Here is a 12,085-nt window from a genome sequence, read left to right as displayed (position 1 = left end):
TAATTACATAAATATGATAAATATCAAATAGAAAAATAATAGAAATTATTCACTTTCCATGTACATAAAGTTCCGTATAATATAATTTCATATTTTTATGAAAAATTTGAGTTTATTTTCATTAACTCAATTTTTTGATATCAGTTTTATATTTGAAATAATTACTGATGGACTTTTTGATGAGAATTACATCAAACTCTAGATAGTCTCCATTAACAAAATAAGTGAGGTATAAAAATGCAAAAACAGTTTTTACAACCATTCAAAATTTCACCATAGTTGGAAATTATATTTAAGAATATGAAGCCATCATCCATTTCTGTTCATGACGATGTCATGTTGAATTTTCTTGTGATGGTGTCAATGGATTTCAAGACCAGTCAGAATTTTTCATAGCAATACATTGAAGCTCTGATTTGCAGAATGAGCATGCACTGGGAGAGCAAGACTGCAGCTGGTTTGGATCTCACCACAAGAATATAGCAGCCACGGAAGGACTGATATGCATATGTGTGAAGATAGAGAATAGGGATGAACAAGTGTATCATGTGTCCCAACCTCATTTTGGACTGTTGCAGAGCTTCCTGGACTCCTGCCATGTAAACTCCTCTAGCACCTCTTTCAGCTCCTTTAATGGATACTGTGTTCTCTGCAGCCGGTGAAGGAAGCAGGTGTCCACGCTCAGCACCACCTAGCAGAGCTCAATATCAGATATTGCTGCTGCCAGAGGACATATCATCACATCTCAGATCCTGTCTCTCTTGGACTGCCCACAAACTCTATAGAAAGTGCTCTCAGCTGGTGCTCACTAGCCTGTGGGCTTCAGCTTTGTTAGCTGTCTGCAGGACTCAGGGCCATCAGTATCTGACTGCATACTTTTAATATATTGAGACCACCAAGAACGTTCTGAGCTACTAGAGAGTTTTCACAACACTATGAAATTGACGGAAAGTTTACTTGTAGGGTGAACTTAAGGCATAATCTGAGTATATAACAGTAAGAAAATTGGTCTACAACTGTTTATTGGGTTTCAACTATAGTAGGTTCTAGAACAAGATGGACTAAATGATATATAAAGCATTTTGTCAGAGTAGGGAGATAAAAAACATAAATAACAGTAAAGTACAACTAAAAATTATTATAGTCATAAGATATGCTTTGCTCTACTATTTGCCTCCCAAATATGTTGGTCAAATTTGTTTTCATAAATACAGATGTTTTAAAAGTATTTTTAATTAGTTATGAGTGCCTGCAGTTCAATGAAGTTGGGTTTGCAACATAATTTGTTTTTGTTGCATTGCACTCAAAAAGAAAAGTCTAATGTATGCAACTTGTGTTTTCAGTTGCCACAGGCTGTTTGGCAAAATATTGAAAATTACTCATACCAATGAACAAGTAAATTCTGCTGCATAAATTAAAAGCAAAGATGAAGATTGATGAAATAATTTGAAACTGTCTTAAGATAACTAATAAAATTACAGGGTAGAAAGAAGTGGAGATTAACTAAATCTCATAGAAGTGACCATAATAATCTTCCTGAATTCAAATAATTAACAATAAAATTATAGTTTAATAAATTTTTAATATCTTTTTTCAAAAACAATGTCAATTGGGCAATCATCTTTAAAATAAATTACTAATAATTTATTTTCTAGCTTTTGTGATTACATGGAAGAAGTTACAAGTTATTTCATCTGATTTAGTGTTCAAAGTCCATGACTGTGGCCTTATTTATGGTTTTACTAAGATTTAAACCTCCCATCAAGAACAAGTTGATCCCCTGCTCTTTGGAAAACATGGCCTGCCTGGGTTCTCTACATTTCCATTCGGGGTAAAGCATGCTGAAATGCAGCATTACCTCGAAGTTGCTTCTCACATTTTTTTCTGGTGATCCTGACAATAGACAGATACTCTTGGCCTTAAATACTATTTAGGTTTTCAAGAGCTCCTCAAGTTGCTGCTTTTTCAGAACCACAACAGTATTAGTTAGGACTTCTGTAGTTCCTCCAATCTGCTATTTCTCCAGTGCTGTGCTAAACACAAATGTTAACTTATTAAATCCTCACAGCAAAGCTATGAGATATAAACTATTATTATCTCCATTTTACAAATGGGAAAACCAAGGCCCAAAGAATTATACAGCTTGCCTAAGATCACATGGAAATTGACTGACCCAGCAAGGATTTGAACTCAGACAGTCTGGCTTGAATACACATTCCTACTCTCTGGTGCCTTTAAATTGGCAGCCATTCTCCACTGTTTCTAAAACTGAATTCATAAGGAAAGAAGCGTGGACCCCCAGACAGTATGTCTTAGTCCAATTTTGTTTGCTTCAGGGTAACTTTAGTCACCACCAGGCAGGAAACTTTTCAGTTTTCCTTGAATTTCTGCTTTCTCATCTTAAGTTTCTGTAATGAAACTGCAATAGATATTGCAGCCCTGCTACTAACATAAGTTATTTGAATAAAGTGACTGACAAAATGCTGGCAGAACATTGCTGCAGGTTTGAAACAGAGGAACTAGGAGCTGGCAGATTCTGATAGAGATGGGTGACTTTGAACTGAAATGTCAGAGTGTACCCATGACAAACAAGGAGAAAAGATGTCTAGTTTCAAGCTGGAGATTAAGAACAATAATAACTGTATTAGTCAGGGTTCTCTAGGGGGACAGAACTAATAAAATATATGTATATATGAAAGGGAGTTTATTAAGGAGAATTGACTCATGATCGCAAGGTAATATTCCATGACAGGCCGTCTGCAAACTAAGGAGCAAGGAAGCCTGTGGTGGATCAGTCTAAGTCCCAAAACCTCAGAAGTAGGGAAGACAACAGTGCAGCCTTCAGCCTGTGGCCTAAGGCCTGAGAGTCACTGGCAAACCACTGATGTAAGTCCAAGAGTCCAAAAGCTGAAGAACTTCGAGTCTGATGTTTGAGGGCAAGAAGCATCCAGCACGGGAGAAAGATGAAGGCTGGAAAACTGAGCAAGTATAAACCTTGCTTGTTTTTCTGCCTACTTTATTCTAGCTGTGCTGGCAGCTATTTAGATGGTGCCTACACATTAAGGGTGGGTCTGCCTCTCTCTGTTCACTAACTCAAATGTTAATCTCCTTTGTCAACACCCTCACAGACACACCGAAGGGTAATACTTTGCTTCTTTCAATTCAATCAAGTTGACACTCAATGTTAACCATCACAATAACATACTTAATTTTTAATATATTTAAAAGTACATGTTATCTTAAATGCATTGGTACTTAATGTAGGGCGGAAGGGGCTTAAGTAGAAAAAAGTGACAAGTTCATATGCTACCAGTACTATTCTGAACAGTCATTTAATGTTGACCTTAACAATTAAAATCTAGTTACAAAACATTAATAAACCTATTTAGATTTATAATCTGAGAGTATATTATAAATGTATGTAATGGATCTTGTCAGCATTTATTTTAATGACAAATTGTAAAAAGGAATTTTACTTCTCTTCACATATATTGGCTAAAACATGGCAAATACATATTCCTTGAATTTGTTCTATGATTAAAATTCACGCATTTTTTACAACACATAATAACCTTTACAAAAAGTGTAAATCAAGTCAATACCAATAATAGGTTTATGTTAACAAAGTTAAACTGGCATTGGTTTTGACTCTATGGCTAGCAAATAGTTGGCCTTCAATAAATATTTGTTATATTAATCTTGGTTAAAAAAAACCCTCTTGTTTCATAGTTTAAATACTTGCTAGAATCAAAATCTAGAAACTTATAGATATGTGTGTATGTATGTGTGTATATATGTATGTATGTAAAAAAGCTCTTTCCATTATCATGAAATGATTTGATAATTTGTATATTTGTGTAACTTCATTCTGTGGTTTATGTGTGTTTAATCCTACAATCACTTTTCATTAAATTGTCAACTAAAATTTCTTCATAATATATATTAAAATTAGTTCTAATTACTGGTTAAAGTATCAATATAGGGTTCTGATCACTGGCTAAAATATCATTGATTTTGTTATTATGGTTGTGTGGGAAATTACCTTGATGAAATGGTAGCCTCCAGTTACTACCCTAAAAGTCTCAGAATAGAAAAACTTGCAGACCAAATAAAGATGCCCAAATAACATGGTATATTAAATGAATTTAAAACACACAATGAGATGTAAAAAAATGGGGTACCAGGTTAACACAAAGTGTAGGGTACAATTGTGTGAAAGGATCTCACTACCCAAATCCTGAATTATATAATCTTCACATAAACACAGCTATCTCCCTCCCTATGTTTCTCAGTCTCTGCCATGTCAACCTTCTCTGCTGATGCTGTGGTGACAGGGACCAAGGCTGAGGTTTGAATAAGAATGGAATGCACAGACGGAAGTTACCTAGGGCCAAAACACACACTCTCCCAGAGAGTGTGTTAGTCTGTTTTCATTTCCATAAAGGAATACCTAAGACTGGATAATTTATAAAGAAAAGAAGTTTAATTGGCTCATAGTTCTGCAGGCTGTACAGGAAGCATGGCAAAGGCCTCTACTCAGCTCTTGGGGAGGCCTCAGGGAGCTTTTACTCATGGCAGAAGGTGAAGTGGGAGCAGGAATGTCACATGGTGAGAGCAGGAGCAAGAGAGAGGAAAGAGGAAGTGCCAGGCTCTTTAGACAACCAGATCTCATGTGAACTCTGGAGAACTCACTTATTACCATGGGGAGGGCACCAAGCCATTCATAAGGGAACCACCCTCACGACCCCAAGGTTTCCCTTTGACTTTCATGACTTCCCACCAGGACCCATCTCCAACACTGGGGATTACATTTCAACATGAGATTCAAAGGGGACAAAACTCCAAACCATATCAGACAGACATAGGAGCAAAATTCTTTTTCAATTAGCCTCCTAAACAACTATGGGTTTTATCTACACCTCATGAACACAAAACATGTGAATAGGTTAGAATGGGACCATGTTGGATGTCACCAATAATAGCCAACTTAAAGATTATATCTAAAAATGCCTGCATGAAAAGGGCATGATCATAACTACAACTTTCTATCCTTTTCTATTATAAGTAATATGCTTGTTCATTCTAGTATATATTTCATTTATTCTACCTTTAACATGTGTTTCAGGTTACAAACTTACCATCTATTTAACACATCAATAAATTTTGCCATACCAATAAGCTACTCTCTTTTGCATTGTTTATATTTAACATACATCCTATAATTTTTTGCTAAATATTCTCTAATTATATAGCAGAGTCATATTATGGCAGTTCTTCGTGATTACTTATTTTATTTATTTGAGACTTGTGTGCTTTTTGGCTTTGTCACATTTATAAGTTTTTATTATGCGTCAAGCTTGATGTCCTCAACTAAAGGCTCTCCTGACCTGTAGCATCATGTCTGTTCTGATACTGAAACTTTCTCCTTCACATTTATGCCACTCCCTCCGACGTGACACCATCTTGGATCTCAATAACTCTCTGAAATGAAATCAAATCTGCTATAACCTGTGGGGGAATACAGATTGTGTATATACATAGATTCAATCCTGAGTCTATTCTCTACTCATACTTTATATTCTAAGCATGCCTTATACCCTAAATGTAAGCAAGAACAGTGCTTAACAATTTCCTAAGGTATGTTCTGACAAGTTTCCAAGATAAACAACAAGTCTTTATCTAAATAAACAACAGATCAAAGAAGAAATCACAGAAGAAACTATAAAATACTTTGAACTGAATGATAACGAAAACAAAACATACCAATATTTGAGTGACGCAGCTAACGGCTTTTAGAAATTTATAGTTATAAATACTCGTATGACAAACAAAAAGATCAAAATCAATAGAATAAGCTCCTACCTTTAGAAAAAGAAAAATATACACAAAGTAAATTAAAGGAAACAAGAGCTGTAATGGAAGAAGAAAAGGAAAGAAAACAAGTTACTTATTTGAAAAGATCAATACAATTAGTAAATCTTTAGCTAAATTGTTTTTAGCTAATTGATTAAGAAAAAAGAGAGAAAATATAAATTACCAGCATGAGCATTGAAGCAGCAGACATTACTAATATACTGTACACATCAAAGGATAATAAGGAATATTAAAAACAGCCTTATGGCAATAAATTTGACAACTTGATAAAAAAGGACAAACTTGAAAGCCACAATTTATGAAAGCTCACATAAAAAAAGTTTAAACTGATCTATGTCTATTTTAGAAATTAAATTTATAATTAAAATCCTTCCCACAAAGGAAACTCCAGGACCAGATGGTTTCAATGGCAAATTTCATTAAACAATTAAAGAAAAAATATTAATAATACCAATCATACACAAATTCTTTAAGGAAACATAGGAGAAAAACACTTTCTAACTTACTGTAGAAGTCCAGAGTTATTCTGCCAAAACCAAAGATATTACAAGAAAATAAATCTGCAGATATAGTTACATCTTTTCTAAACATTGCACAAAACTTCTTAACAAAATATTAGCAAATCTAATCCAAAAATGTATAATAAGGAACAAGAGCAGCTAGAGATCTTCCATGCAATGTGTAGCTGATTTAACATTTGAAAGTCAGTCAATGTAATTTTCCATATTATTTGAATAAAGAAGAAAACCATCCGAAAAAATTTAGTGTTCAGCCATGATAGAACACTTCAGCAAAATAGAAATAGAAGGAAACTCCCTCAACCTGATAAAAGGCATCCACCTAAAGTCTACAGCTAACACCTTATTTTTAGAGAAAGATTAATGCTTTCTCCAAAGTTAGCTATACGCAAAGATGTCTCCTCTCATCACTCCTATTCAACTGGAACTGGGTATCCTAGACAATGAAGAGTAACAAAAATAAATAAATATTTAAATAAATAACTAATATTGGGAAGAAATAGGTAAACTGTCTATATTTGCAGACAACAAATTTATGAGGAACCTACCAAAAATTTCTGGAATGATAAGTGAATTTAGTAGTGTCCCAGGATACAAGATAAATATGTAAACATCAATGATAATTTCTTATTTAAGCCATTAATAATAAGAAATTAAAATTTAAAAACTACAATTTACAAAAGCATCCAATACAGAATACTTAAGCATAAAGTTGACATCATGTACACTGAAACTACAAAATACAGTAGTCCTCTGCCTTATTGGTGGTTTTGCTTTCCAAGGTTTCTGTTACTCGAGCTGAACCACAGTTTAAAATATGTGAGTACAGTACAATAAGATATTTTGAGAGAGAACACATTCACATAACTTTTATTACAGCATATTGTTGTAATTTTGCTATTTTATTATTAGTTATTATTGTTAAGCTCTTACTATGCCTAATTTGTAATTAAGCTTTAATCTTAGATAGGTATATATAAGAAGAAACATAATATATGCAGGGTTTGGTACTATCTGCAGTTATGGCATCCACCAGAGGTCTTGGAATGTATGCTCCACAGATAAGGAGGGACTACTATGGTATTGGTGAGAGAAACTGAAGATGACATAAATTAGAGGTTGGTAAACTATGGCCTGCTGTTCATGCTCTGCTTTTGTTTTTAGAATACATCTATACTCATTTGTTTACATATGGCTATGGCTGCTTTTGCAATTGAGAAGTTGCAAGAGAGACCAAATAATTTAGCAAAACTTAAAATACTTACTGCTTTGCTCTTTACGGAAAATGTTTGCCAACCCCTCATAAATTCTTGGAGAGATATACCATGTCTATGAATTAGAAAATTTAATGCTGTAAAGATGTCAGTTCTTCCCAAAGATATCTATAGATTCAATGCAATCGCAGCAGGCTTTCTTGTACAACTTGATGAAGGGATACTAAAAGTGAAATGCAAATGAGGAACCTAGCAGAGGCAAATACATTTGAAAAAGAATAAAGTTGTAAGACCTGTACTACCAGATATCAAGACTTAATATGAAGCTTTAATAATCAAGTATATTCATGGCATAAAGATAGACAAATCAATAGAACGGACTAGAGAGGCCAGAAATAAACCCACACACATATGGCCAATTGATTTTGACAATTGTGCCTAAGTAAGAGAATGAAAGAATAATCTTATCAACAAATGATGTAAAAACAACTGGATGTGTTGGTGGAAAAAATACTCTAAATTTCCCAGCTTACATCATACTTAAAGTTAACTAAAAATGGTTGAGAGATCTAAATACAAAAGCTAAAAATGATAAAACTTCTTAAAAAAAAGCATAGGAGAAAATTTTCACAATCTTGGAGTAGGCAAATATTTCTTGGACAGAACACAAAATGTACTGATGATGAAAGAAAGAAAAAGATGACATAACTGGGTTTCATCACAGTATAAACTGTTTTACCCTCTTTAAGGTCCAAAATGACTACCAATACATTAAAAGTTTTGGGGTCTCATGTAATTTTAAAATCCTGTTTGATCTTATTTGATTTATTTCTCAAACTTATTGGCGTTAGAACCCTTTAACAGAACACCAATTAATCTTTTATAGAACTTGTATTGCAGAAAACACACTTACAAAGTGCTAGTGAAGACACATTTTTTTTCTTTTGGAATAAACTTTATTATCAAGGCTAATTTAGGGGCAAAGAGCCAGAACAGCCAAATAGTTATTTTTGCCATGGAATGTGCTGTATTTGATGCACTTAAATTTTACTATAATGCTTCTAATGTTGGGGAGTTATAAACATTTCTCAATAGCAGTAAATATTCTTTAAAACAGCATTCTATAATAGCTGTACAATTTAATTAACGTGCTGTATGAATAGGTGTTTACACTTTTATTTACTTTTTATTCCAATCAAGATATCCTCATATAAAATTCAGCTGGAGAATCTGAAAATTTAAACTTAAGGTCACACTCATTAAAGTGGTCTAAAACACATTGCCAGGAAGAGTTCTTAGTCCTAAAAGTCCTACAAAGAAACTTACTATATTTCAATTTATTTTGAGAGGAACTGGAGCATAGGGAAATAAGGTGATTCTTACCTAATGAAAAATCCAAGTAATGGCAGAATGCAGAACAGATACCTTGACAAGTGACGGGGATAACACTAAAGTTTTTCAGCTGTACATATTAAATTAAAAGAGACAATAAAGATTAAGTTTCAATATATCCCCAATATGAACTAATCAAAAACCAGCATTGGTCCAGTGTAAGAAAGAGTTGTCAATAAATAGTATATTAATAAAATACACCACAGAAGTAACCATTCTCATGCAGCTGAAAGAGCAAAGAAATTTTAGGTGAATGTAATATAATATTTGGGTTCTTATCCAAAACAACAAGAAAATGTGTTATATATTCCAAGAAAGCATTTAAAGGTTTATTATTGATTGCATAAACTCAGAAGCTCACACAATATTGAAAGGCAATTTCTCTGAAAAATGGCTTTCAAAGGTAAGGTTTGGCAGTTTTGTTCTATTTGAAACATGAATAAGAAATGAGATTATTGAGCAGGCAAGGAAAATCTTATGTTTGCAAAGTTTACTTTAATGCTCAAACAGTGAAAATTGCAAAGGTGTTGGAAATAGTCATGCATGGTATTTGAACATCCTTTCATTCATACAAAAATAATGAACTATGAGGTATATACGTTGTGTTGAAAGCCTTGGTATTTTATTTGCACATCTCACCACACATAGAAAGGTCTTCTTTTTAAAATATATGCTTGTTTACATTTATATTGTAAACCACAATGTATCTGAGGTCTGTCTTAATTGATTTAGAAGTTTATTTTGCCAGGGTTAAGGATGATGACCTGTGATAAAACCTCAGGAAGTCCTGAACATGTGGGCAAAGCAGTATGGTTACAGCTTGATTTTATACATTTTAGGGAGACAGAAGTTACAGGCGAAGACATAAATCAGTAAATCTGAGGTATACATAGGTTTGGCCTGGAAAGATGAGACATTTTGAAGCAGGGAGCTTCCAGGTCATAGGTGGATTTAAAGATTTCTTGGTTGGCAATTCATTGGAAAACTCAAGCTTTCCATAAAGAAATGAAGTCAGCTTGAATTAAGATAAGTAGGGGATTATGGAGGCCAAGATTCTTGTCAGGTAGATGAAGATTCCAAGTAGCAGGTGTCAGAGAGATAGATGTGCATGTCTTTTACTGGACATTAAAAGGTATCAGACTCTTTGGAAAGAACTCCTTAAGTAAGAAGATTCTCTAAAAAATGTAAATTCCCCCACCAAAGATAGCTTTTCAGGGCTATTAAAAAATATGTCGAGTAAGTATATTTTGGGATAAAATACTTTTATTTCCTTCAGGGCCCATTATCTGTCATTTGACATTATACCAGAGTCAGGTTGGAGTAGCCAAACCCCCAACTCAGCAACTTGTCTAGGAATGGGGCACAGGCTGAAGACTGCTCTCTACAATCTTAGATGCAAGAAAAAAACTCAAATTTGCCTTCCTCAACGGAAGTAAGTGATAACTCCAGAAAGGAGTTAAACTGCTCTCCATTGTCATGGAAACAATCTTAGGATCTCTATTGTAATGTTAATGATTGGTCACTTTTATCTAGACTCCAAAAGGAAGCGGGTATAATGAGGCATGTCCAATCCCCTTTCCCATCATGGTCTAAACTAGTTTTTCAGATTTCTTTGAAATCCCCTAGGTTGAGAGAGTCATCTATTCAAGTTGGGAGACTCCCTAAAATGAATGAAATCAAGCTGTAACTGATCCACCTTGCGCACATGTTCTCAGCACCTTCTGAGACTGCGTCACAGGTCACGATCCTTAACTTTGGCAAAATAAATCTCTAACTTGAGACCTGTCTCAGATACCTTTTGGTTTACAAATTGGTGATCAATGGAAGGGACCCAGGGTGGAGGTGCCCTGACTTTTCACAAATCTTCTCTCAGTGCTTGTTACCAGCTTGGGCTCTTTATTGCTCAAACCATGAGGACAATCTGCTGAGGTGAAAGAGCTTCCCCACTCCAGAGAATCTCTCAAATTTGGAGTGAAATCTAAGGTTCATTTTGCTGTACAGAAAAACAAACAAACAAACAAACAACCCTCCTTTTCTGGAGTTTTGCTCTCTTCCAATAAGGAAGGCAAATTTCCTTGCTTCCGTGACAAAGACGAGCAGTTTAACTTTTTTTTCTGGAGTTTCCACTTGCTTCCACCAAGGAAGGCAAGTTTGAGTCTTTTTCCTGCTTCTAAGATTGTAGAGAGCAGTCTTCAGCCTGTGTCCCATTCCTAGATAAGTTGCTGAGTTGGGACTTGGGCTTGAAATTTCTGCTTAATGACTAAAGGTTTAGGTTGACAATCAGTGAGTCTTAATTTTTCCTCACTTTTAGAGTGTTCAGTAATTGTATACATTGTGTGATCATTTGCTTATTTTCTTTAAATTTGTTATTTGCCTGTACCTGTTTTTATTGTTGCCTTTTGTTGTTTCGGCCCTCCTTTCATTGGGTTTGACCAACTCTATCAGGTTTGGTCAAATCTGAAGGAAAGTCTCAAATTATGGGGAACAAGGCCTCTAAATTGGTTGAAATTCCCACAGCTGCAAAACAAAGGCAGGGGGAAGGGGGAAAAAAAAGTACATCAAAAAGAAAAATTAAAAAATTTGACTACATGGGGGGCTTCATGTACCCAACAAGGCCACTTTTTGCTAGCCAAGCCTAAACTGAAAGAGCAATGGCAGCCACCTCATGTTGTAGTTCAACAGCTAAGATTTGCCCTTTTCACCCTAACAGCCTAGGTTTGGTTCTAACATCAAGTCCTTGCTGGTTTGATATTTGTGCTACTTTTGAAGTATCAGCTGTTTGTCCCAGCTAATATATGATAGTAACAGATTTAAAAGAATTTTTTTAAAGAGCTCTAGGGTTAAAGGTCAGCTTAATTAATAGCAAATATCCAGTGTGTGTGTGTGTGTGTGTGTGTGTGTGTGTGTGTGTGTATGCTTTTTTTCTTTATGCTTTTTTTCTCTCCTTGGATCTTTTTTTTTCTCAGTCAACTAAGTTCCATTTCTTCCTTTTACTTCTCCCTGTCTCTCCTTCCTCTTGCCACCTTTACCCCATGAGGGACCTAGAAAGAAGAAAGGAATTTCTGACAGCTTGGGATCCCTTGGGGG

At 34.7% G+C, this 12,085-nt stretch overlaps 1 annotated feature.

Annotated features, from left to right (window-relative positions):
* Positions 10,062-10,776: an enhancer, noted in NCBI's record as "OCT4-NANOG hESC enhancer chr4:142546083-142546797 (GRCh37/hg19 assembly coordinates)". NCBI's record gives its function as "activates a minimal SCP1, AML or CMV promoter by ChIP-STARR-seq in primed H9 embryonic stem cells {active_cell/tissue: H9 hESC(primed)}" and the evidence as "EXISTENCE:reporter gene assay evidence [ECO:0000049][PMID:30033119]".

The sequence above is a fragment of the Homo sapiens genome, chromosome 4 (assembly GCF_000001405.40).
Source record: "Homo sapiens chromosome 4, GRCh38.p14 Primary Assembly".
Classification (NCBI taxonomy): domain Eukaryota; kingdom Metazoa; phylum Chordata; class Mammalia; order Primates; family Hominidae; genus Homo; species Homo sapiens.
This window is presented reverse-complemented; position numbering and strand designations above follow the sequence as displayed.